Source organism: Homo sapiens, chromosome 10 (genome assembly GCF_000001405.40).
Source record: "Homo sapiens chromosome 10, GRCh38.p14 Primary Assembly".
In the NCBI taxonomy this organism is placed as follows: Eukaryota; Metazoa; Chordata; class Mammalia; order Primates; family Hominidae; genus Homo; species Homo sapiens.
Genome location: NC_000010.11, coordinates 109,988,811 through 110,015,528, shown reverse-complemented (window position 1 = coordinate 110,015,528; position 26,718 = coordinate 109,988,811). Strand labels below are relative to the sequence as shown.

Here is a 26,718-nt window from a genome sequence, read left to right as displayed (position 1 = left end):
TGGTGGGTGCTTGTAGTTCCAGCTGCTTGGGAGGCTGAGGCAGGAGAATGGCATGAACCCAGGAGGCGGAGCTTGCAGTGAGCCGAGATCAGGCCACTGCACTCCAGCCTGGGCGACAGAGCGAGACTCCATCTCAAAAAAAAAAAAAAAATCAAACATTCTAATATGAAAATTAGTGCAGCTCTAGTTTTTCAAAAAACAAGTATTTTTAAAGCAATGAATTTCTAATTCATTGATAATGTGTACTTTAATAAATAATAGCTCCCAATTATTAAATGTTGAGTAAGGTTTGTCACACTTCTATTTTGAAAATCTTTATTCGAAATTTAACAAGCAGACAGTTGTGGAGAAAGAAAAAAATTCCTTTTAGTGCAATCTCCAATTTAAAGCTAAAATGTTAAGCAATCAGATAGAATTCACCTTAAAAATTCTACCTTCCCATCCTGGCCAACATGGTGAAACCCCATCTCTACTAAAAATACAAAAAATTAGCCAGGCGTGGTGGCCCATGCCTGTAAACCCAGCTACTCGGGAAGCTGAGGCAGCAGAATCACTTGAACCAGGGAGTCGGAGGTTGCATTGAGCCGAGATCACGCCACTGCACTCCAGCCTGGCAACAGTGCGAGACTCCGTCTCAAAAAAAAAATTCTACCTTCCCTTAGGAAAGTGAACTCAACTCTGACAATAAAAACTGTAAAAGAAGGCTGGACGCGGTGGCTCACACCTGTAATCCCAGCACTTTGGGAGGCCGAGGCGGGTGGATCACCTGAGGTTGGGAGTTCGAGACCAGCCTGACCAACATGGAGAAACCCCATCTCTACTAAAAATACAAAATTAGCCGGGCGTGGTGGCGTATGCCTGTAATCCCAGATACTCAGGAAGGCTGAGGCAGGAGAATCCCTTGAGCCCAGGAGGTAGATGTTGCGGTGAGCTGAGAATTGCGCCATTGCACTCCAGCCTGGGCAACAAGAGTAAAAAACTCTGTCTCAAAAAAAATAAAAATAAAAAAACTGTAAAAGAAAGGCAAGGTAAGAGGTACACTGTTTTCACCTTTAAAAAGTTGGCTGTGGAAATAAGGAATACGAACAATGCATCAACTTCATTGCAAATCCCTTTCTACCTCCCATTTGTGCAGCTCAGGCAATGAAGCATTCCACTCATCCAAGGCACTTATGCCCAATCACAACTCCATTTGAGCTCTGACCATTGCCATTTTCCAACCACCTCCTTAGATATTAAAAGGCTGACCTTCTAGAATTTTTTTGTCATGTATTAAGACAAATGAGAACAGAAGTCACGATGCAGCTAACAGTTGCTCACTCTAACTTCCTAGGGCGTAAAAGTGGAGTGTTCTTAGAAGTCCCTGGGGAGGCCTTGACTTCCAAATTTACTTCCTTAGATATACCAAGTAAGCCTAACTATCTTCTTCAGGAGGATGAGTAAACCCAACTTTCTGCTCTAGCATTTAGTCATTCTAGCAAATCAAAAGATGATAGGATGAGAATATTGAATGGAAAAGGAAAACAGAAATGCTGTCCTTGCTCAGGATGAGCTGAGCCATTGTGGAAGAACTGCACAGAAACACTGCTAATGGTGACAAAGACATACACCGAGTTCCCATGACACTAAAAACTCAGCACTTCTCCAACCTGATTGCTTTTACATTGTTTGAGTTCCACCTCCTCTAGTAGGTAACCAACAAACCACCACAGAGGCAGAGTTAAACAGGCTGAGTCACTCACATCAGCACTCTCCTCTTTCATTCCATCTGAAAAGGTGAGCACTTCCTTTGGTGAGGGAGGGGAAAGTAAGAAATCACAAGAATAAATTTAAAGAGGTATGGAAGCTTAAAAAAATAATTTCGTGTATATTACTTGGAGTTAGGTTATCCTGCTTAATCCACTGCTTGCCTTAACGTATCTGTGATCACTGTTATTTTATTGTTTCACTAATATAGTATACTTCTTGAGACACTGGTTTTAAAGACATTATGTTACTGTCCTTAAATTTCTCAGAAGTGTTTTTACCTCCTAGCTGGTTGAGGGAAATGTTTATCCTATGGAAATTGCATATGCCCACTGCAGAAAAAATTGAGTTTCATAACCCTAGATTAAAACCTTAGCCTTGGCCGAGTGCAGTGGCTCACGCCTGTAACCCCAGCACTTTGGGTAGCCGAGCGGGGAGGAACACTTGAGGTCAGGAGTTCAAGACCAGCCTGGCCAACATGGCAAAACCCCATCTCTACTAAAAATACAAAAATGAGCCGGTAGTGGTGGCAGGCGCCTGTAATCCCAGCTATTCAGGAGGCTGAGGCAGAAGAATCGCTTGAACCCAGAAGGCAGAGGTTGCAGTGTGCCGAGGTCACACCACTGCCCTCCTGCCTGGATGACAGAGAGAGACTCCATCTCAAAACAAAACAAAACAAAAACCTAAAAATCCAAAAAAACCGTAGCCTTGTTTGAAGAGGTAGTCATCTTAAATGCCAGTTTATGTACCGTATACAAACCAATCTCCTCAGGCCCATTTTCATTGAAAGAAAAAAAAAAGTAAACATAACATATGGTGCTGATGCAGATCAGTCTGACTTCAAGTAAAGGCTCAATTTAGATCTAACCTTACCTTAAAGATATAAACCAGGCCTGTGGCTCATGCCTGTAGTCCCAGCTACCTGGGAGGCTGAGGTGGGAGGATGGCTTGAGCCCAGGAGTTCGAGACCAGCCTGGGCAACATAGTGAGAGCTGTCTCAAAAATACAAAAGAAGAAAAAAAAAAAAGATATAAACATATGCCAAGGCCTATACATCTTGTACAATAACGGTTCAGCTTTTAGTGGAGTTAAAACTAAGCAATATTATCTTCAAGAAACAAACTTACAAGAACAGTAAGCCTTTTAAAATCAAAGAGAGGTTTCATCCATTTTATACCTTTTGGTGATCATGCTACTACTATTTGGATTATGCTAGACAACTCTGAAAGCCACATTCATTCTTTAAGGTTTCTAGGATACTCTAAATGTATTCCTTCAATGCAGTTAAGTAATGTCCTAGAAGCCTGAAAGGAATTGTTAACGCAGCTTTTCAAACATACTCAACCAAAAACAGTTTAAGGAAACAAGGGGCTCTGATTCTCATTATCTGTGCTACCATCTAAGACTTTAAGTTAAACAGTACTTTCTTAACATTTAACATGTTTTCAACTGGCAATTCAATTTTGAACTTTGAGACTGGTCCAGATATTCAGCAACATTAAAATACACATGAAATAAATAAAAGATCCACAAACCTTTTTTCTCCAACACTTTTTTCCCACATAAAGGTATTACTCTATGCATACTGTTGGTACTCAATAAATATTACATTAATACACCAGGTGAATAATTTTTAACTTTACCTAAAAGGAAGAGAATCCCTCAAGTAGCATGGTTTGACATACGTATACATAGACACACACATCCATAATTAGCTACTGCAAGAATAAAAAATAATCATATTCATCTAAGGGATAACACACTTTTTCGTTCAAGCAACAGCCAATGAAAGACTTCTAACCTGTATGTTTTAGAGGATTCTTGATATATACAACCCATTACAGTAAAAAATTACAGTAAAAATTTGAGACTGTCTTGGCATTTGGCCAAGAGAACTGAATCTCTGGCAGAACCTGAAAGACCTCATAACAATCTCACCTATAAACACTCTGGCATGGACCCGGAGTTCAAACCATAGAGTATTAACAAAGAAGACATAAAGTATTAAGGCACTTATTTTGAATCTCAATGACATGACAGTCTAGGACTGTCCAATTAATTTTAAATTGGGTTTAAATAACTTCAAATAGGTCTACGTTTAAAAGGAAGAATAGCACTCGATTAGATATTTAAAGTTTTTTTAAAAATTCAAACTCTACATATTTAATATTTTCAAAGGAATCTGAAAAGCACTAATTATAACAAAAACAGTGTTTAGTGTGAGAAACAGATTAGTAACCTGTGTCTTCAATAAAGCTTGCACTTTCTCAATTCAACGCATGCTTGTTTTTAAACATTTTTTCCTAACATTACATTGCACTAAGTTGTCAAATGACATTTCATCTATCTACAATAATTCTAAACATTACTTAAAACAGCTCCTAATTTAGTTTATAATTTGTTTGACATATCAACTACAATGGTGAAGCAGCAACACACAGTTCCTTGAGGAATGTGAATGACAAAGTATAAGCCACAAGTTACATCTTTGCATTTAGGGTTCATTTTAGGAAGCAACTCAGGTGGTATTTAGAACAAACTTAAGTTAAAATTTATCTCAGGTTGATATGATGTTGGTAATCAGAAAGGTGATAAGGTTTACTGATTTACTGCAGAACTGGAATCTCCAATGGGAATTAGTGCCCTCTGGGCCACCTGGGGCCCTACATATCTGGTAAGCTTCAAAAAAAAAAAAAAAGACTTTAGTATCTTTAGTAATTAGAAAGATAGCACACTCTAGCACAAACTCTAGCACCCTAAACATATGTTGTGTATCAAAAGAGAATACCCTTTCAATGTCAAAAGGTGACTGTATTTAATGCGGATTAACCACCACTCCTTAGATTTAAGCATAACTTGGTGGTATTAATACCAGAGGATGTGGTTAAACAAGACATGTGCACCTGATAGTCGTGGGAATACTATGAAGACCTCTCACTGGTTTGCAGTAATTACCATGAGCTCAATAGCAACAAGGGGCAGTGGTTACATGGGCTCACTCTTGGGCCAGACTCTGGCTTCAGAACCAACCTGTGTCACCTTGGGAAGATACTTAACCTCTCCATGCCTCTGTTTAGCCACTGGGTTGTTGGAAGGACTAAGTAAATTAAATCATATAAAACTCTTAGTGCCTGGCACAGAGGTTAGGCAAATAAATATTGGCTATTACAAATATTTGCTGAGTCTTCACATGCTGGGTAGCATGACCTAACAGCCTTCAAAAAGATATGTCACTTTACATACTGATAATGATAAACACAAAAAGCACTGAATACAAACCCCATTCTAAGCACTTTACATATAACAACTCGGTTAAGCTAAAGTTCTGATGTGACTGTTCCCCAACACGCTACACAGTTTGTTCAGAGCCAGGTTTCTATGCTTTTATGTGATTTCTTCCCTCAAACACTTCTTATACTCTGATGACATGCATACATGCCACCCAGTACTGCTAACCAACTGCTTTGAAATGGGAGAGATTAACCAGCTAACCACCTGTAGGCTTACATGTGACAAAAGCACTCAGACATGATAGGCCTACTTCAGGAAGCCTCAAAACCTCAGAAGTTGGGCACCACCCTGTATCTAGGTTTTAGGATTGTGTGTAGGAGTTGGGCTGTTGCTGATGTTATGTTCTCTTGGTCTCAAAAGACATTCTGGTTTTACAAAGGCCAGATCTACACTTTAAACATAATTAGGCAGAATTCACATTCATGCCAGCATAATATTGAAGAAAGGGGTGAGACAGCAAAGTGTGTAATTTTCTCCCTTTCAGTCAATGCTTGAAACTTACATTACGAAAATACTATCCTTCTATCATGCAAAATATTTCCCAAGTGTCATATGATCAACTATGTCAAATGTTCACCAAACATTTCCTGATATCATATATGTAAAATGTAGCAATACATTGAATGTCTCATAACCAACTATCTCAAGAACTCCTTCAAATTATGTTTAACATTCAAAATAGATACACCCGTTTCTTCTTTAAAAACTATTACCAACATGCCAGCACTTCTGGGCACCTTAAGTGTTATCACAGACTGAACTCTTCAGAAAGATGAAGAGTTAAATGTAGCTGCCTTTATTTTATCCTGGTCCTCCTTCCATAAAGTTAATCTGCTCCATTTAAGCAAAGGAAAATAAGTTATAATGCAAGTACAATATAATGGAGACTTCGATATAAAAACTTTCTACAAATGCTCCATTTATAATGTTCCAGTTATTTATAGGGTTAAGTAACTTAACCCTATAAATGGGTTGGTCCCATAACTTAATTACACAAATATTTTTAACAGTCAAGTATTTAACTTGAAAACGACAAATTGCACTGTACTCTTATTTTTTCAATCTTTAAAAACACTCTCACTAGGAGTCTTCTAAAGCCAAAATTAGGAACGTACCCTGCACTATGTAGTCAGAAGCCATTCCAAGAAAAGCAACCATTTAATACTGCTAAATCTAAAATGCTACATAATTTAACGTAAACTTGCACGCACGTGTATGTAGCTAGTCCCATACCCCAGAATCTTATCAATTCCTTCCCCAAACTTGCATATAATCCTCCCTCAAAGCCTCTTGGCTAAGTTAAATTCCTTAACACTCTACCAGGTTAATTGCAACAGCACATGTGCCAAGGAAATTAGTGGTTTTCCTTGCGCTCCCATTTTCAACCGGCACCTACTTGCAATTAAATCTCTGCAACAAAAAAGTTCACCTGAAGCCGTTCTTGCCATTTTAAAAGAGGCCCAGATTATGCTACCTGTCTGTGGTCTTGCCTAAGCTATAATAGCCTACCTCCAAAGAGGCTGGACGTGCCCCAAACACCAGCACACCAGACCTGCTGCCAACTTCGCTTGTCACCCCTAGCAGGAAGCTCAACCTAACATGTATACGTTTGTAGGGGCGGTGTGTTTGTGTGTGTCTGTGTTGGGGGGTGGGGAAGCGGATTATAGGAGAAAGGTGACTGAACACTTTCAACTTGTAACAAAAAAAATTTTTTTTAAATGAGGAGAAAAACAACTAAAACCAACATTCGCTCCCTTTCCTCCACCTTTTCTAAGCGCAGGAACCTCTCACTCCCCTGGAGCGCACCTTCAGGGCTTAAGGTCCCCGGGGTCACCTAAGCTTCAGCCAGTAACTGATTTTGGTACTCCCCGCCTTCCTAGGGAAAACCAGCAGACGCGCGAAGCGTCGGGCCCACCCGGCGGCGCCGCAGGCCGTGCACCGCCACCCCCGGACCCTCCCCCGCAGGTACGCTCCCCTCTGGCCTGGCCGTGGTCCCCACTCCCGCCCCGGAAAAGGGTTCACCTGAGGCCGCAGGGACAGCCAATGAGAAGTCCCCTTGGCCCCGCCAGCCGCCGCTCCCTACCCCCGCGCGACCCCCAGTAGCGTCCCCAGTGCTAGCCCCCGCGCGGGTGCCCGCGTCCCGGCCCGGAAGAGAGGCGGGACGACGGCGCGTCCTCTCCCCGCAAGATTACCTCGCAGCGCGTAGCCGGCTTTGTGTTTCCCCTCCCTCCTTCTCGGCAGCCGCCCGGGCTGCAGCAGCCGCCGGATCCGCCGCTGCGGCCGCCTCTTAAGCGCCGCAGAGCCCCAGAGGGTAGGGCGGGAGAAGGGGAGGGGGCTTGAGGAGGGAGGGACCTGTACGCCGAGCCCTGTGCAGCAGGAAGCGGCGACACCTGGGATGCCGACGCCTCTGGCGCTTGCTCTGTGTTTTAAAAAATCTAATTTAAACCCCTCTTCTTTCCCTCCCGCCCCTCACACTGGCGACCGTTACGGGCTGGCGGCTCGCGCTCTGGCGGGACTAGCCGAGCGCCCCTCGAGCGTCCCTTGGTCCCGCCCCCTAACGCCCCGCCCCTAGGTCCCCAAGCGCCCCCCCCGGTCACGCCCCCAAGGTCCGCCCCTCGCAGCCCCCTACGCCTCTGGCCCCGCCTCTTGGGCTCCGAAGCCTCCCGGCCCCGCCTCCTCAAGACCTCGCCTCTGGCAGCCCCGAGCTCTCTCTGGCCCCGCCCCGAGCGCCCCTCGGGAGTCCTGGTCCCGCCCCCGCAGCCCCCTCCGCGCCCTCAAGCTCTAAGTCCGTGAAGCCGCAGCGGTGGGGGCCTGCAGGCCCGGCAGCCGGGAGGGCCTGGTTCGGGGCGGCTGCCTGGCGCCTTTTCAACGTCCTCTTCTGACTGTGCAGCTCGAATCCGCGGCGTCCCCGGAGGGCCAGAGGGGGAAACGACCCCGATAGAAACCCGACCGCGAAGGGGAGGAGGGGCGCCTCGGAAATGTCTCCCGCCCTAAATGAGCGAGCCCCCTACTCCTACTCCCGAGGCTGAGCCGCCGCTTTGAGTCAGCCTCGGCCGCCCACGCTGGCTGCTGGGGCTGTAGGAGGCCACTGCAAAGGTTCAACCTCCGCACGCCCCCCGTGGGGCCTGGACTTTGCTCTCAGCACAGCTGCCTTCGCGGGCGCCTAGTCCCCACAACCCCTGCTTCACCTCCACATAGGGGGAGGACAGGGGCTCTCGCTTCTGCTTCATTTGGACCCCTCGAGAGTCTTCACTCCCGCTTTGGCTCCCGGCCTCTGAACCTTATGAGAGCTCACTTCTTTGAGGCGAAAAGTCGAGGCATCGCCAAGAACCTTCAAAATGAATGCGGGGCCGGGCAAACTTTGCAACACGCAATTGCAGGGCTGTGGATCCATCCACAGGTGACACCGGGCCTCCCACCCCCCTCGCCCAGACATGTTTCTCATCCCAACCTATTCTTGAAATAGACCTCCCAGCGGTGCACACTTTTCTCTGCCACCCACGACTTCCACGTCCCTCCTGCACCAGTACACTTGCAAGCACACCCCTCCGAGCGCCATTCTAATGATTCATGGTCCCTTGGGCCAACCCCACCCTAACACACACAACAAACTTCGTTCCCCACCCTTATCCCCCTTCGTTTCCAAGGCACTGGCGACAATCCACTTCATTTCCTTTCCTCATCTGCAGACTCGTCCCCCTCAAATACCTCACGCCATCCGCCTCATCTTCATCCCCCCCCTCCTCCCTAAAAATGTGCTAATTAAAATGTAGTTTCCTCTTCCCACATATGAAGTGTGGAAAATGAATCTTGTCTTGACACAAACTGTGATGCATTTATCGTTTTCTCTCTCCACTGGACTAAGGCTGTAGAAATTTTAGTCTACCACCATCTCCCATTTGCTCAAAAAATCCAACCATGCCTTATTATTTTTAAATACTCTTAACGAATCGTGGGGAAGGCTGCCTAGTTTGAGGAAGAAAATTGTTTAGAAAATGCTCAGCCTGACATTTTATTTGGTATTTAAAAATATCTGCAGTATTTGAGAGAGATATTGGGAGTGGCTGGATATTTTCTTGCATTTAAAAAGCAAAAAAATGAAAAGCTTTGCATGCATCAAGGTTAGCCTTTTTATGAATAGCAAAAAAAGTATCCTAAGGGCACCTATCAGAATATAGTCCTCACTATATTTTGCTAGTCGCAAATCTGGACACCCCCACCACCACCAAAGGAAGACAAATTAACATAATCCATTTTAAGCATGTCTGATGAACAGTCTTTTCCATGATCATTCCTTTTCTCACAGTTTCTGGACAAAATAGCTAGATAGATCTCCTTACCCACCGAAGATCCAAAGCTTCCTTCTAACAAGGGTAGTAGACGTACGTGTCTGTGTCTTCTGTTCTCTAGGTGTGGATTCTGCAATGCTGCACAGAAACCTACTGCAGCCTCAGACCAACAGCAGCAGCAGCAGCGGCGGCGGCGGCAGCAGCAGCAGCAGCATTAGCAGCAGCAGCTTCTCTCAATGCTGAGTAGTAAGTGTTTGACTTAGTAAACTCTACAATTACCATTAGGCGCTTGCTTATGAGAGGAGGCGGAATCTTTCTTAAAGGAATGGGTTTTGTTTTTCCTCTCTAGTATTGCTTCATAAGAGGCAGAGAGGATGGAATCAGGGAGTTTTGTGGACTGAGTAAATGAGTACAGCTGTGGGAGGTCAAGGTTAAAATTAACTGGGTGGTTGAGGAATGGAGGCAATGATTTTAGTGTAAGTCAATGAAATGCTAGAAGCACCAGTTTTAAAGAGCCCTGCTAATTTCAAACATTGGGGTAATGGCAAAATAAAGTTGTATGCCTTGAAACTGATTAGTAATTTGTGCTAATATTTAATTTAATTTAATATTTGTGCTAATATTCAACATCGTACTAAAATAATAACTATATAAAGGAAAGCTATTTAGTATTTAATATAAGAATAAAAAGAAAAATGAATTAAAACTCGTTTATGTGACTAGAAGCAATGGATTCAAGTCCTACCTATAAGCATACTTGGAACTTCAGTGAATACCAGTATTAGAAAATATATTGTTGACAGGTTTCAATGTGTGCTCATGTGATATAAAAAATCACAATATTGCCGGGCGTGGTGGCTCACGCCTGTAATCCCAGCACTTTGGGAGGCTGAGGCAGGTAGATCACGAGGTCAGGAGTTCAAGACCAGCCTGGCCAAGATGGTGAAATCCCGTCTCTACTAAAAATACAAAAATTAGCCGGGCGTGGTGGCAGGCGCCTGTAATCCCAGCTACTTAGGAGGCTGAGGCAGAGAATTGCTTGAACCCGGGAGGCGGAGCTTGCAGTGAGCCAAGATCGCGCCACTGCACTCCAGCCTGGGTGACAGAGCAAGACTCCATCTCAAAAAAAAATAAAATAAAATTACAGTATTATGTATAGAAAAAACAAAATATATCTAAAATAATTTTTGGATAATAGCACAGTATTAATGCTATTTCAGTGGCAATTCAAAGGTCAGCAAAATTAAGAAACACAAGTGGATTGACTGACTCTAAGTGCATATGAATCTGCTATTTACACTATTAAAATGTGTCGTGTCCACCTGAGAATCTGCATTATAACCTTACATTTTATCTTTATATTACTTGATTTAAGCACTTACCAGTTATGTTTTTTTCTCTATAAGTAAATGAAGAGGTGTGATCTCAAAATATGAATAGAAAGAAATAAAGGAAATATTCTGCCTTTAATTTTCTTTGCACAGCTTTTGTTAATGATGTACCTGTGTGATCTTGAACAAGTAAATAACCTTATTTGGTTCTTAGTTCCCTATTTTGTAAAGTGAGGAAGTTGGATTGAAATTTCCCAGGGTCTGGCCGGTCATGGTGGCTCATGCCTGTAATCCCAGCACTTTGGGAGGCTGAGGCAGGCAGGTCACGAGGTCAAGAGATCAAGACCATCCTGGCCAACATGGTGAAACCCTGTCTCTACTAAAAATACAAAAATTAGTCGACTCACTGCAATCTCTGCCTGCCAGGTTCAGGCGATTCTCCTGCCTCAGCCTGGGACTACAGGCGCATGCCACCACACCCAGCTAATTTTATGTATTTTTAGTAGAGACAGGGTTTCACAGTGTTAGCCAGGATGGTCTCGATCTCCTGACCTTGTGATCCGCCTGTCTCGGCCTCCCAAAGTGCTGGGATTACAGGCGTGAGCCACCGCACCCGGCCTCAATTTTTTTTTTTAATGCCTCCTACAGGGAGAGAATTAAAAGAAATTAGTTGCCCAGTTTCCTTCATCTGTTTTTGTTTTCCTTGCTTCTCTGCAAGGAGGGCTTTTTATTTCATCTACCAGGTAGTATTGAACAATGAATAAAATGGTGATTATTTGTATAATTCAAAGCATTCCCCCACATCCCCTCCCCGCAAATTGAATGCATTTCTTTACCTCTTCCCAAAGTGCTCAGCACAGTCTCTTATATAAAGGCACTTAACGGATACTTTAAAAAATGAATACACGATTTAATGAATGAATTGCTCCCAACATATCCAGAAACTGACTACAAAGTGTTTTTGTTTGTTTTTAATTTGCATTGTCCAAAACAACTGACTCCATTCTCTACCTCCCTTTCCTAACACAGTCATGATCTAAAAGAAACAATCTCTTTTCTGTAGAGCTCTTTAGACGTGCCTGATTTGTATTCTCCAATTAAATTGTAGCCACAAATCTCAACAGGAACTCTGGGTAGATCAAGCAGTAGCAGAGGCACTTTCTGCCAAGAAAACACAGGCTTCAGTTTCAGAGTTCTGGTGTTCCAGTTCTAGATGTAACACCAACTGGTTATATGACCTTAAACAAGTTTCTCGACATGCTTGTGCCTCAGTATAGCTGTCTTTTAAGTGGTGGTGGCGGTGGATTATAATACGTGCTGTACCTACTTCATAGGGTTGTAGTGAAGTTCAAATGAGATAATAAATGTAAAAATGCTTTGAACTTTTCAAAGCACTATGTAAATATAAGGTATTATTATAGGCAAATGTATTTAAAATCAATTATCTAGTTCAAGGGACTTTACCCTAAACAACCTGTTTTACTACTTGTTGTTTCAGAAAGCAAACAGGTTTATCTTTCTCTCTTCCTCTTTCTCCATGCACAGACACACACACACACACACACACACCCTTACTGTTCCCAATTTAACAACTTCTCAGCTTTGAGGATTTTCCCTTGGGTTGGGAAATATGCATATGCCATTTGAATATGAAGAGCCAAGAATTTATAGAATCCTCTCCCTATCCCACCCCCCCAAAATTTACCTTTTTAAAGCTCTCAGACAGAAAAGTAAACTTAATGAAGCACAACAGCCTTTTCAAACTACATAATGTTATGTATTTAATCAGTGGAGTTAGATGAGCCATTCATTTGAAACTTGGCCATGCTGCATACATTTTGATCACCCTTTTATGCCAAGCCAGTCTGGAAAGTACTTGGGGAACAAGGCAGGGAGGACTAACACGGAATTCATGCTAATGAGTTCTCCATTCCCCAAGGAGATATAATCAGGGCAATACTCAAGGATTCGTCAACATATTTTATTAGTACTATGTGACCTATATGGTTTATTTTAAAGGAATTAACCTCAGCTAAATATCTGAAAGATCTTTATACAACTGTTTAAGTAATCAAGCCTGATATATTTCTGAAACTTTAATGAAATATCACCCTTAGGGTCCTCTTTTTTTTTAAGTGTTTGTTCTCATTTATTCATTTTCTATTTGGTAACTTAAAATCATCATGACTAAATAAATATGCAAACAACTGCTACAAATAAGAAACTCCTAGTGGGAGGCCCACTCATATGTAGAACATAAAGACTCATAGAAACTCAACTTAAGGGTCACTAGTTTCCAGCCAGGCACGGTGGCTCATGCCTGTAATCCCAGCACTTTGGGAGGCCGAGGTAGGCAGATCACAAGGTCAGGAGATCGAGACCATCCTGGCTAACACCATGAAACCCCGTCTCTACTAAAAATACAAAAAATTAGCCCGGTGTGGGGGGCGGGAGCCTGTGTTCCCAGCTACTCAGGAGGCTGAGGCAGGAGAATGGCGTGAACCCGGGAGGCAGAGCTTGCAGTGAGCCAAGATTGTGCCACTGCACTCCAGCCTGGGTGACAGAGCGAGACTCCGTCTCAAAAAAAAAAGACTCACTAGTTTCTTTTTGTTTGTTTGTGTTTGAAACGGAGTCTTACTGTGACCTCCACCTCCTGGGTTCAAGCGTTTCTCCTGCCTCAGCCTCCTGAGTAGCTGGGATTACAGGTGCCTGCCACCACACCTGGCTAATTTTTGTAGTTTTAGTAGAAACGAGGTTTCACCATGTTGGCCAGATGGTCTTGAACTCCTGGCCTCGAGCGATCTGCCCACTTCAGCCTCCCAAAGTGCTGGGATTACAGGGGTGAGCCACCACACCCAGCCAAGAATCGCTAGTTTCTATGTAGAAAAACTTTAAAATGAATGCAAAAAATGCAATTGCTATGTGAAACCTAAAATACGTTAGTTGCATATACATCTTTTCATCACATAGTCATATGCCTTCACACTTCAGCTACGAATCTCTAGTATGTTACATGATCTTAAAACCAGGTGTTTTACTTCTTATGACAGTATTTCTAGAAAGTAATCAGGAACTACCTCCAACAGAACCATTTGGAGTGTTTCCTAAAATACTAATTCATAGGCTCTACTCCAAATTTACTGAATTAAATCTTTTAGGATGGGGCCCTGGATTGAGACTTTTTTTAAAAAAAAATCTCTGAATAAAGAAGACGATTGAGGACTTTTTAAGCACCCCAAGTGATTCTCATGTATCACCAGTTTGATCACAGCTATCCTATAGAAACAATGCACTGTGTAGACAGAATCTCAGACATGAGTGAAATGCGGATGGCCCCGTTTCATTATGTGAAAGAGATTCAGATAAGCACAAAACTGGCTACACCTTTTCTGCTGCATAAATGTGTGCAAAATATTTAACCTCTCTGAGTCCTAGTAATTTTTTTTTTTTTTTTTTTGAGACAGGGTCTTACTCTGTCTCTCAGGCTGGAGTGCAGTGGTGTGATTTCAGCTCACCACAGCTTCAATCTTCCGGGCTCAAGCGATCCTCCCACCTCAGCCTTCCTGGTAGCTGGGACTACAGGTGTGCACCACTATGCCTGACTAATTTTTGTGTTTTTAGTAGAGACGGGGTTTTGCCATGTTGCCCAGGCTGGTCTTGAACTACCGGGCTCAAGTGACCCACCCACCTCGGCTTCCCAAAGTGCTGGGACTACAGGTGTGAGCCAACATGCCCAGCCCCTAGTATCTTAATCTGTAAGATAATACCTGTTTGACATTGTTGTGAGGATTAAATGACATAACATATGGAGAGCTTCTAATGCCTGACACCATATGGAATTTAAATATTTGTTTATTCTCTCACTCTGTGTTCAAAAATGAGTTTCCAGGTGCATTATTCTTGTCTAGTGTTCTTAGTATGTTTGGTAGAGTAATGTGAACTAGTAATTTAATGGTGGCTAAAATTTTGAGCTCTTAAAACATACCAGTACTGAATGTCTTATATGTGTTATTTCATCTCATACCTACAATAACCCTTAAAGGTAGATACTACTGTATTATTATCTTCATTGTACAGATTAAGGAACTGAGCCTTGGAGAGAATAAGTAACTTGCCCAGGATATCAAAGCATAGAATTAACACTGCTAGGGATCAAATCCAGGCTTTCTGACTCCAGAGCCTAACAGTTCATCATGCTGTATGTTCTGTACATTCTCTAAGTGCTTAGATTCTAAAATATGAGCCAGTTTCTTGGGAAGAGTATGGAACTGCAAAAGTGGAGTTTATAAACATAACAGAAATATTGACAAATGAATGTAATAATTTCCCTATTTTAGAAGTCTTTACCAGTTGCTCATAACAGAGCATGGCACATAGTAGGTGCTCAAAAGTACTCGTCGAATGAATGGAAGGGACAGGTTGCGTCAGCACACTATTTAAGCAGCTGACAGATCCAAACCCAAGTTTTCACACAAAAATTGCAGACTGAATTGATCTGATTTTTCAGACCAGCTTATATTCTGACATAATACAAATCATTAACTCTCAGAGCTATAAATCATCTTATTATTTACAGCAGATAGTTCTTGAGCATGTGTTATTAACAGCACACTAGTCTGGTAGTGGAAGGATTATTTAAAAAAACCTTAAGACGCCAGGTGCGGTGGCTCACGCCTATAATCCCAACACTTTGGGAGGCCAAGGTGGGCGGATCACCTGAGGTCAGGAGTTCAAGACCAGCCTGGCCAACATGGTGAAACCCAGTCTCTACTAAAAATACAAAAATTAGCTGCGCATGATGGTGCATGCCTGTAATCCCAGCTACTCAGGAGGCTGAGGCAGGAAAATCTCTTGAACCCAGGAGGCAGAGGTTGCAGTGAGCCGAGATCGCACCATTGTATTCCAGCCTGGGTGTCACATTGAGACTCTGTCTCAAAAAAAAAAAAAAAAAACAACCTTAAGACATAGCTTATGGCCTCAACATCTAGCTGGGAAATGAAACACAAATGTATGAAACAACTAGATTGCAGAATTATTTCATATGACATAATAAATGTAAAGCTCCTAGGAAATGCTGAATGTTCAATAAATAACTGTCGTATCAATATTTTTATTTTAATAATTATTAAGATATGATAGTTTTATTAATAATGAGGAAAATAATATTTGTTATAGCTACAGTTTAAAGAGTGATTATGTGCCAAGCACTATGCTTGAAGTTTATACTACATTTAATCATGATATCAGTCCTGCTAAATTAGTATCATTGATCCTGTTTTTCAAATGAGGAAACTGAGACTCAGAAAGGTTAAATAATTTGCCCAGGCACATATTTTGTAAGTATAATATACCAGAGTCAGGGAATAAGAGAGTCCAAAAGGAGTCAGGGAAGATAGAGGTCAATTCCTGCTGGAGAAAACAGGGAGGATGTCTGTGAGTGGGAAGAGCAGAACTTTAATGGGGGAAAAACGAGGAGAAGGGCCTTAGGTGATGGCGGTGGCAGGAGGAAGCGTATGCATGTGAGCTTTCTGAGACAGGTCCCACAGTGCTTTGCTCAGGGTCAAGCTCATTATGAATGCACAACCTAGGTCTCCTCATTGAACATGGACAGCAAAATATAAAGTGTGTTGGTAGAGTAGCAAACAAATCTGTTTGCCTGGAGTAGAGAGTTTGTGTAGGGCAAATTTAGAATGTACGTAGTCCCCAAACCCTGAAACACCCAGCGTTCATTTACTGAGAGCTTGTTTAAGTTGCCACACTTCCAGTCACTGTCCATTAATTCACTCAGTTATTTTCACTCATTAAGGCAACAGTATTTGTTGAACTCCTGCTATGTGCCAGGCACTGTTCTGGGTGGTAGAGACAAAGTAGTGAACAAAATGAACAAAAATCCCTGTACTCATGAAGCTTTTATTGTACTGGGAAAACAACAGATGTTAACATGTAAACAAATCAATAAATAAGGTAATTTCAGATGCTAAAGGCTAAGAAGAAAGTAAAATAGGCCATTGACAATGACTAGGGTGGGGGAGGGGTACTGCTTTAGTTAGGATGGATGAAGAAGGTGTCTTTGAGGAGGTGACATTTGAGCTGAGACCTGAATGATCTGTAGTCGGCAGCTGGAGAGACAAGTAAGTTCAAAGGTCATGAGGCAGGAACAAGTTTGGTATGATTGAGAGATTGAGGGAAAGGCATGGTGGTCAAACACTGTGACTGAAGGAGAGAGGCCCAAGACAGGAGAGCTAGGTGGGGGCTGGATCATGTGGGTCTGGCAGATCATGGTGAGGAGTTTGACTTTCAGAAGGTTTTAAGCAAAGGAAGGCTACAGTCTCATTTGCATTTTTGGAATTTCCTGGCTGCTATGTGCAGAATGAACACTAGAGAGATGTGACTAGAGACTGGGAAGCTAGTTAGGAAGCCATTAAAGTCATCCTGACAAGAGGAAATGGGGTCTTGTTGTAGGGGTAGCTGTGGAGAAGAGAAGTGAAAGATCTTGGGTATATTTTGGAGACTTGCTGATGGAGTACATGAGTTGAGTGCAGAAAAGGAGAGAAAGAGAGGACTCAATCCAGAGTGATCTCCAAAGCCTTTGACCTTAGTGTCTTGATGGATGGTAGTACCATTACCTGAGACAGAGAAGACTTGAGAAGAAGTAGTATAACAGATAAAAGCGAGCCCTTCTGCTAAGTTTGAGATTACCCTCTTTCTTCTCTTCAGAGTACAAACTCCACTTTATAATTATTTTGTTAATTAATTTTGTTGTACTTATTTATCATTAATTTCCTCCCCATAGGAATCTTCAAAAGAGCAAGAACTTTATCGTGTTCATTGTTGTATCCCTAGTACAGTCTAGAGTCTAGAACATTGATGGTCACAGAGTATATACCCAATAAATATTAGGATTTGTTGAGACTGGTTCAGTAGTTCTCAAATTTAAGTGTACATGAAAACCGCCCGGATTTAGATCGTTATTAAAAGTTAGCATCAGCCCCCATCTTAACCCTTCCCCATCAAAACTCTTCTGTAGTAGGTCTGATGTTGCACTCTGGAAGCTGCACATTTAGCCAGCACTGTAGGTGTGCAGTGGACTACAAGTTTAGATGTATCAGTGTTCTTTCAAATATTTGCCTTAGAAACTACATTTCAGTGGCATCTGTGTAAAAGACCACAAAGCATGGCTTTAAGAATTCAATGGCATTCCCAAATATAGTCAAATCATACGGTGTGATTTAAAAGCTTTTGAGAGAAAAGCAGCGAAAGAATCCTAGAGTCCCTTCTGTCTCGTTTGACTTATAGACTGTCATTGTGAAGGGGTCCTTCAGAAGGATTCATCATGTGAAGAAAAATGGCTACCTAAGTGCAGGGATTTCAAGGGCAGCAACAGCCTTCTCTGACTATATCTCCAAAGTATCCCTATTTACAGGTCTGTGAAATTCCTTTACTTGTTGATTATAGTAAATGTTTGTTTTTGTTTGCACAGCATTCCTTGCCTTTTCCAGTAAGGGTGCCCCAATATTCCTTTGGAGCCTTTTTTTACCTCATTGCTGCAGCTTGGCACCCCACCCTCTTCTGAGATAGGGGCTGACCCCATGCTGAATCAAACAGATAATCTCTTCCTAGCATTTGAATCTTGAGTAATAACACAAAGACTTAAGATTAGAATTCCACCTAAAGGAGGTCCTAGAAGAAAATGAGATTAGATACTGCTACGAAGACCTCATAAAACCCACTTAGCTCCTGTCTTTACAAGACCCTATTCTTCAGCTTTCTCTTCAATTCTGTGAGCTCTGTGCCTTATTCTTCCAATAAATTCCTGCTTTGCTTAAGTTAGAGTGACCTCAGTTGCTTGAAATATAATCTATGGCATAGCAATAAAAACCTTGTGATCTATAGTTAGAGGTAAAGCTTTCAAAACAAATCCTTCCTGGGAGTAGTAACACATTAACCTAAATTCTCACTAAAGTGTAAATGTATGATAGCAGAACCTGAACAGCACAATTCATTGAGGCCGAAGAGAGTGAAGAGCTCCATGGCTTGACATCAGTCACACCACTGAGGTAGGAAGGAAAGTTTAACGCATGATTTAAATACCTTGCTGCAAACTGTCTACACTTTTATTTCATAGTTTCTACTAAGCCCTCCCAGATACTGAGTTTCTACCTTCAGACTAAACTTTCAGAGCAAGGCTTTCCAAAGCAGGGCATAATTACTAGGACACATAAACCTAAGACATTAATTTATGAACATGAGAATTCATAACATTAAATTTAGTTCTCATTTCCTTCTCTGGCCCCAGGGGAAAAAGAGGAACATCCTGTCCTTTTAATCATTTGAGTTAAATCCTAGTCATTTGTTGACCTTCCTCCTTCCCCCATTTTTGAAAAGACTTATGACTCTTTAAAACGCTAAGAAATTAATGACTTACCTCATGTCTTATGCACAGTATCTTCTGAACAAGCCAAGTTTCTCACAGTCTCATTCACAATGATTACTGAAACTAAAGTAACAACAGAAAGCATACTGAACAAAGCCAGCAGGAGTTCTGGGTGTAAGCCACACCCAGGGAGAGATAACGAAGCATGTTGTAGTTTAACAAGAGTAATAAAAATGAAATCTAATCACTTGCAGATTATATACAGTATAAATAGAGATCAAGTTGTAAAAACCAGTCTAGTTAATATTTTTTATTTTTAATAGCGGTTGGTATTTGTGAAAATTAAACATAACAAAATCTGGATATAAAACAATATTGATTCTGCATGGCCAATCATTTTCATTTCAAATGGGGGTGGAGAAAAATCACCATTCTTATTAAAACATAATAGTATTACTAACATTTGCTGAGCACTCACTATGTGCCAGGTACTGTGTTAAGTGCTTTTTAATGTAGGTTGTTTCATTTAATACACCTCCATGAGGTATTGCCCTAATATACCTGTTTAGAAACAGTGGAACTAAGGCACTGAGAGGTTAAGTAATTTGCCCAAGATCAAAGAGCAGGTAAATAGCAGTGGTTGGGTTTTGAATCCAGGTAATGTTAGACACACCTGACAGTGATAACTTGACATGTGCATATCCTGAGAATGATCCTACATGGCAGATGCACCTGAATGTGTGTTCAGAATTCTGAGCTAAGAAATCCAAGAGTGGCCAAATCAGGGATCTGTTCCTTATCTTAGAAGGACCATCTGAGCGCCTATCCTGTCCAGTGGAGTGAGGGCTGTACAGGAGATCGAGGTCCTTTGTTTTCGGTTAAATGAAAGTTGCCAGGTGGAGGTTTTAGGCACGGGGAGTTAAGCGAAAATACTATGTAAACTGCATGCTTTTTTCAAGTGGTTCTCATACCCAGCCCACCGCCACTGGCCTCTCTCCTCTGTAAAACTCCATGTCTCTGAGTCTCTTCTTTGGCCTCTTGAACGTGGTGCCATCCCCATTATAGTCTATAGGAGTTCAGCACAACACCAGGCAACAAAATGGCTTGAGTCTGGGCTATCAGCCCCTTCTCTTTACCGCCTTCCAACATTGCTTGGCCAGTTAGTGAGAGAGCACCTGGTCTTTGCTTTTGCCTGTACTTGAGGCCCTTCTAACCCTCACTTTGAATGTTTAAGAATTACATTTTGAAAACTACCTGAACCAGGTAATCAAAGTAAATAGGCTTTCCAAGAGTCAAATTGTTTGGATGTTAATTGTTAACTCAATGATAAGCCTTTCTAGCAGCCTTTACAGAAATTTACTTATCCAGACTTTACATTAAGTTAAATAGTAAGGATTTAGGGATCTAATCAAAGTCTCCAAATGCATGAGCAAGGCCTTTGGTTTTCAAATGCAGTTTATACTTTGTTGCAGTGAATTTGGGATGAGAAGGTGAGTGGCATTCTCTCTCAGAAAGGTGAGTTATTTTTCTGATAGGTGGTTTCACTTCTCTGCCAGGGAAGTAACTGAGAAACCAGACTGGAACTTGTATCTGCAACCTGGTATGGAGTGTGGGTGGCACATAAATCAAACAGCCTACTCTTAAACATTCAGGGGCTCTTCAAATACAGCGTAAATTTTCTGAGCCAGTCTCCCTGAAGTCTGGCCATGACCCAACATGCTTCAGTCCAGAAGGTGGTGGTTTCTGAAAGACCCTTCATTTTTTTTTCTTTTCCATGAAATGGGATGATAGAATTGATACAACCCTGACTGCTTTTAAAAAGATTGCCAGAGTTTTTACTGGATGTACCTGTGGTTGGGATGGCTTTTGTATTTTTGAGGAATATTTCAGTCCTCTTTCTCCATGCTATTGCTTTCTTTATATATAGCATCAGTACTTTTACTACTAGATGAGGAAATCAAATCATTAAAAAATGTAGGGTGGCCGGGTGCAGTGGCTCACACCTGTAATCCCAGCACTTTGGGAGGCAGAGGCGGGCGGATCACAAGGTCAGGAGATTGAGACCATCCTGGCTAACATGGTGAATCCCCATCTCTACTCAAAAATACAAAAAAATTAGCCAGGCGTGGTGGCGGACACTGTCGTCCCAGCTACTCGGGAGACTGAGGCAGGAGAATGGCGTGAATCCAGGAGGCGGAGCTTGCAGTGAGCCTAGATTGCACCACTGCACTCCAGCCTGGGCGACAGAACAAGACTCCGTCTCAAAAAAAAAAAAAAAAAGTAAGGTGAAGTAGGGTGACGCCAAATGGTCCTGCGCTAGACTGCCCCTTGTGCCTTTGTTCTTGGAAGAGATAGGAGGAGAAAATAAAAGCATGGCACTCTCTGCTCCAATCCTGTGTTTGTTTAAGATATCAAGGCAGAACCTACAAGAACAAACAAGTGACTAAAGGGATTCAAGATAATATAGACAAGATAGAAGAAAGTCTACAAACTTAGAAGTAGGTGTTTTCTTGTGGAAAGGTCAGTAGAAGAGCCACCACTATGCTTGGGGTCTGCACTAATGAGCTGTGGACTTGAACGAATCACTTAATGATTCTAAACTTCTGTTTCCCTATCTGTAAAATGGATATGGGAGTCAAAGTATACATGTGTAGACTTGGAAGAGGACTGATCTAGCCTCTGACCCACTGCAGAAATATAATCTACATTACTCCTGACAGATAACCCATCATCCAACCTCCCATGAAAAGTGACTCATCTTCTTATGTTCCTTATGCTGAGCTAAGTTCTGCATCTTGGCACCTCCATTCATTGGTCTTGATTCTTTTCCTTGAAGTTCTGAGTTGGCAATGTGGATGGCAAGAGAAACAACAAAGTACAATGGAAAGAAAATCAGATGAATCTGAGTTTGAACCCCATCTTAAGCACTTTACTGGATATGAAATCTTGACGCAATTGCATCAGTTCTGTAAGGCTCAGTTTCCTCATCTACCTGACGGAGATATTGCAACTTACCTGACAAGTCTATTGGGAGGATTAGAAATAATTTCTAGGCCAGACACGGTGGCTCACGCCTGTAATTCCAGCACTTTGAGAAGCCAAGGCGGGCAGATCACGAGGTCAGGAGATCGAGACCATCCTGGCTAACACGGGGAAACCCCTTCTCTACTGAAAAATACAAAAACATTAGCCAGGCATGGTGGCGGGCGCCTGTAGTCCCAGCTACTCAGGAGGCTGAGGCAGGACAATGGAGTGAACCCGGGAGGCGGAGCTTGCAGTGAGCCAAGATTGCACCCCTGCACTCCAGCCTGGGCGACAGAGCAAGACTCTGTCTAAAAAAAAAAAAAAAAAAAAAAGATTTTCTATAAAATGCCTGCACATACAGAGTGCTTGGTAAAATTACAATTAAGAATTCTTTTCTTAGAATATATTGAAGTCAGTATTTCTTGGGGCCTGAGGTGTTTATGGCATGATTTCAGGTTCCTGTTATGATGATTTGTTCTGAAATGTTCTCAACTTTTCCCTTGTTCCTGTTTCAAATAAATAACCACTTTCTGTATATTGCCTTGCATTTTCCTTCTCAATAAAACCACCTTCTTTTGCTTGTACAATAGAAAAGAAGGAAGCTTAAACAGGGACTTAATGAAGCTGTACGCAAGTGTATGCTAACTAGTTAGAAAAAATCCATAGTGGAGGTAGAATTTAATCTTTACTTTGCAGCATGAGAGGCTTCTGAAATAAAGGATAGTTTGGAAAGGAGTTCAAATGTGCTCTGGGATAAGAGATTGTCGTAATGCAGGAAACATGCTAACTTTACTAAAGTGAAAGGAATTCCATGAGTTTAGGAGTGAGATAACCCAGAGCTGTGGACCTCACAGTCATTTGAAACTTCACAGAAAGTTTCCGTAGGAACAGAAGCTTCAAAACATCTCTTTTTGAACTTGTCCATAAGTATGAAAAATTAAAACATGTGCCTCTTTGACTAAAAAAAATCCATGGTAATGAAGTTACTGTGCGGAAATTCTTGTGTGAACATTTAAACAAGATAGTTACAAGGATGTTCACTGCCAGGTGGTTTCCAATGTCAAACAAACAAAACAACAGTGACAACAACAGTCTAAAGCTTTCAATAGAATAGTAAAAACAATGATAATGGATCCATAAAATGGAATACTATACAGCCTTGATGAAACATCATGTTAACCTGGTATGATGTCCATGATATATTGTTGAGGAAAAAAGTACGTTTTAGACCACTATATGATGAGCTATATTTGTATATATGTATCTATGTATGCATGGGCATGTGCATATATTTATGTGAGTATATAGATGTAAATATATGGTGTATGTATTTAGAAAAAAGTTTGGAAATCTGTACGAAAAACTTAACAGTAGTTAATTCTGAGGGGTGGGATTAGGAGAAAGAGATTTTCATTTTTTGCTTTAAATGTTTGGATATTTGAGTGCTTTTACATGTGCAAGTATTATTTGTATAATTTCAAAAAACAGTAAAATAAGAATAGCTAAATTCACAAACATATGTTTAAGCACTTGGTTACCTTTTCACAAAGTTCAGGAATCCTCACTTGGAGAATACCTTTTTAAAGGAAATAAATAAGTTAATATGTTTCCTTTGGATAAAAGTCAGAACTGAAAGACCATCTGGTTTAATACCCTAGAAAGACCCTCACCTATCTAAGCCCTCAAGACAAGAGAGGAATCTGGAACCCCTGACATCTAGGGTTCCTTTATATCCCTCCACAGCTTCCTTTGGATCTCAGATAGGGCAAAATGCCCTAACTGGCATATGACCATTATGAGTGTTTTTCTTGAAAGGAAGTGAGACTTGGTCATCAGATAATTTCCCACAAAAAACCTGATGTGTGCACTTGGAGCTTAGTACTGGTTACAGTGAATAAAGCTCTGTGGCCCAGGAGCTTGCCTGCTAAAGCTGGGCACTGCAAACATCTATCATCTAACATTTGCCAGATGCCAGTTCATTTGATTAAAAAACAGTGTTAATGAGCACTTGAGCTTAATTTTTTTCAAGGAGCCAAATTGCCTCATGCAAAGAAATATTCAACAACCACCCTGCATCACTAATTCCAGCCAATTGCTTCTCGAAATTGTTCCACTGGTTGTAAAAATTAGTGGAGTAGAGTGTGTAGTTGGTTAAGTTTATCCATTTGTTCATTCATTTATTCATTTATCTCTTCATTCAATTGTCAGCAGTAAACGTAGAAGTTAGCAGTCAGCTGGGGGCTTGGGGAGGTGGGTGGTGGGGGGGGAGTCCGAAACATTTGAGTTTAAATTCCTGCCCTGACACCTACTGGCAATAAAATCATGGCAATTTATGTAGCCTATCCAAGTCTTTGTTTTCTCATCAGTAAAATGGAGGCAGCAATCAAAAAGTTGTCGTGAGGATTTAAGAACATTTAAAGTACCTAGCATAGAACCTGGCATATATTACATGCTCAGTAAAAGTTAGCTATTGTCATTCATGAGTTTGTCATTCAAAAAATATTTGAACACCTAATGTGTGCCAAGTTTTGTGCCAAATTCTGAATTTTTAATATGGTTAAGATATGATCCTTGCTTTTAAGGGGGTTAAGTCTAGGTGAGAGGTTATTAACCTAATAGAATTCAGAGGCTTCTTGAATTTGGATGGGGAAAAAGAATCACATGTCTATTTTCCACTAACCTCTAACTAAAATTTTACATTTCCTTCAATTGTAAATGTATTCACCAAAGAACAGAAGTACTCACAATATGTGTGACTTTGTTACCAGGAGAAATCATAGATATTTTCATAGCATATGGTAGTTTGGCAGAAATTTTAAAATGTCATTTATGCACATCATAACTTTGAAATTACAATAGTTATTAGACTCACTGCTAGATGTAGAAATTGTGTTAATGAAGCACATATGTAGTTATATCTGAAATTTTTTTGTCTTTTGAAAGCCGTACATTTATTTCTTTTGTGCTCCTATGTATTTATTCATTTAAAAAGTGTTCTGAAATGGATACATATATGTACTGTATTACATGCATGAGGATGTTTATAATAGCACTGTTCATTAAATAAAAAACTGAAAACAAAGTAAATGTTCATCAATAGAAGAATGAATAAATCACCATTGGTATAATCATGTAATGAAATACCACCCAGAGATGAGAATGAATAAACAATTGCTACATTCAGCAACATGGATGAACCTCACAAACATAAGGTTAAGCAAAAGAAACCAGACACAAAAGAGAACATACTATATTTTTCCATTTACATAAAGTTTAAAAACAGACTAATTTCAAAATAGTTTACTTTTTTGTGGGGTGGTGGCTGGGACAAGGGGGCTTTGGGGTTAGCTAATTATTGATCCAAATGCTAGTAATATGAATATATTCAGTTTGTACACATTCATTGAGCTGTACATGATTTATGCACTTATAGTTATAAAAACTTACTTTAGAGAATCACTTGAACCTGGGAGGTGGATGTTGCAGTGAGCCAAGATTGTGCCACTGCACTGCAGCTGGGTGACAGAGTGAGACTCTGTCTCAAAAAACAACAAACAAACAAAAAACTTACTTTTAAAAAGGAGATCCAGGCCAGGTGCTCTCACCTGTAATCCCAGCACTTTGGGAGGCCGAGGCAGGCCGACTGCCTGAGGTCAGGAGCTTGATACCAGCCTGGCCAACATAGTGAAACCCTGTCTCTACTAAAAATGCAAAAATTAGCTGGGTGTGGGGCAGGCGCCTGTACTCCCAGCTACTTGGGAGGCTGAGACAGGAGAATCACTTGAACCCAGGAGGTGGAGGTTGCAGTGAGCCAAGACCGGGCTATTGCACTCCAGCCTGGGTAACAAGAGTGGAACTCCGTGTCAAAAAAAAAACGGAGATCAGTAGACTTACCGAGTCTGCCAAAGGGGTTCATGACACAGAAATGATTAAGAACTTCTGGTCCAGATAGAGAGATAAATCCAAAGAAATTACTATAATACAATGTTTTATACACAGCGTGGATTTTCCAGGCCATTCCTGATCCCTGTATTCTAATCCTATTGTCCCATTAAGTATAACTCATACTTTTCAGAGCATGCATCTTGTTATATATATAGGAAAAATAGGAAAGAAAATACAAAGTAAGGGAAGTCAGGAAGAAATCTCATGGAGGAGGTGATATTTGAGAGGAGCCTCAAAGAATAAGTCGACTTTCAGTCGAAGAGCTTGCTGGCGAAGTGAGCAGCATCACGAGAAAATGGGAAGCATGCTGTGTTTGGAGAACATCAGGTGATCTGGTGTGGCTGGTTCATAGGGCGGATAATTGGTAGGGGGAATGGGTGGGAGATATGAGAATGACTGTGCATTATGCTAAGGGAAATTGGCCAATGTTTTTTGTTTGTTTATACTTTTTTATTGACAGAATAGACATAGAGAATAGTGACCCAAACATAAGAGTACAGCTGGATGGATTTGCATAAACTGAACCTATCTGTTTTTCTAGTACTCAGATCATGAAATGGGACATTAACAACCTATCAGAAACCCCTTTTGTGCTCCCTACCAATCACTACTGTTCCACATCCCTGCCAAGTGGAATCACTATCCTGACTTCTAACCCCATAGATCGGTTTTCTAACCATTATGAACTAAACATATTGTTTAATCCTTGAACAACTCT

The 26,718-nt window shown here is 41.4% G+C and overlaps 1 protein-coding gene and 1 long non-coding RNA gene across 25 annotated transcripts in view, besides 7 other annotated features; one reads left to right on the top strand and one right to left on the bottom strand.

Annotated features, from left to right (window-relative positions):
• ADD3 (adducin 3) overlaps window positions 1-19,156 on the bottom strand; it is a 139,193-nt gene extending 120,037 nt beyond the window's left edge. For 9 of the 24 annotated variants that reach the window (XM_024447796.2, XM_024447805.2, XM_024447801.1 and 6 more), the window contains exon 1: window positions 7,230-7,545. The gene's annotated coding sequence lies outside the window, so the exon portion shown is untranslated. Of the gene's footprint in view, window positions 1-6,546; window positions 7,546-9,377; window positions 9,583-19,082 lie in introns of those variants that run through there. The other 15 variants (XM_047424588.1, XM_047424590.1, XM_047424587.1 and 12 more) reach the window with 5 other exon arrangements.
• Window positions 345-1,150: an enhancer, noted in NCBI's record as "H3K27ac-H3K4me1 hESC enhancer chr10:111774137-111774942 (GRCh37/hg19 assembly coordinates)". NCBI's record gives its function as "activates a minimal SCP1, AML or CMV promoter by ChIP-STARR-seq in naive H9 embryonic stem cells {active_cell/tissue: H9 hESC(naive)}" and the evidence as "EXISTENCE:reporter gene assay evidence [ECO:0000049][PMID:30033119]".
• Window positions 1,571-1,630: an enhancer, noted in NCBI's record as "active region_4000". NCBI's record gives its function as "activates an Ori minimal core promoter by ATAC-STARR-seq in GM12878 lymphoblastoid cells {active_cell/tissue: GM12878}" and the evidence as "EXISTENCE:reporter gene assay evidence [ECO:0000049][PMID:35858748]".
• Window positions 6,813-7,222: a silencer, noted in NCBI's record as "silent region_2806". NCBI's record gives its function as "represses an Ori minimal core promoter by ATAC-STARR-seq in GM12878 lymphoblastoid cells {active_cell/tissue: GM12878}" and the evidence as "EXISTENCE:reporter gene assay evidence [ECO:0000049][PMID:35858748]".
• Window positions 7,148-26,718, top strand: part of ADD3-AS1 (ADD3 antisense RNA 1) — a 62,823-nt gene continuing 43,252 nt past the window's right edge. Inside the window, exons 1-2 of the long non-coding RNA NR_038943.1 lie at window positions 7,148-7,348; window positions 9,448-9,572. This is a non-coding gene — a long non-coding RNA (ADD3 antisense RNA 1). The remainder of the gene's footprint in view (window positions 7,349-9,447; window positions 9,573-26,718) is intronic.
• Window positions 7,533-7,962: a silencer, noted in NCBI's record as "silent region_2805". NCBI's record gives its function as "represses an Ori minimal core promoter by ATAC-STARR-seq in GM12878 lymphoblastoid cells {active_cell/tissue: GM12878}" and the evidence as "EXISTENCE:reporter gene assay evidence [ECO:0000049][PMID:35858748]".
• Window positions 7,533-8,344: a biological region, named in NCBI's record as "H3K27ac-H3K4me1 hESC enhancer GRCh37_chr10:111766943-111767496".
• Window positions 7,791-8,344: an enhancer, noted in NCBI's record as "H3K27ac-H3K4me1 hESC enhancer chr10:111766943-111767496 (GRCh37/hg19 assembly coordinates)". NCBI's record gives its function as "activates a minimal SCP1, AML or CMV promoter by ChIP-STARR-seq in primed H9 embryonic stem cells {active_cell/tissue: H9 hESC(primed)}" and the evidence as "EXISTENCE:reporter gene assay evidence [ECO:0000049][PMID:30033119]".
• Window positions 8,345-8,900: an enhancer, noted in NCBI's record as "H3K27ac-H3K4me1 hESC enhancer chr10:111766387-111766942 (GRCh37/hg19 assembly coordinates)". NCBI's record gives its function as "activates a minimal SCP1, AML or CMV promoter by ChIP-STARR-seq in primed H9 embryonic stem cells {active_cell/tissue: H9 hESC(primed)}" and the evidence as "EXISTENCE:reporter gene assay evidence [ECO:0000049][PMID:30033119]".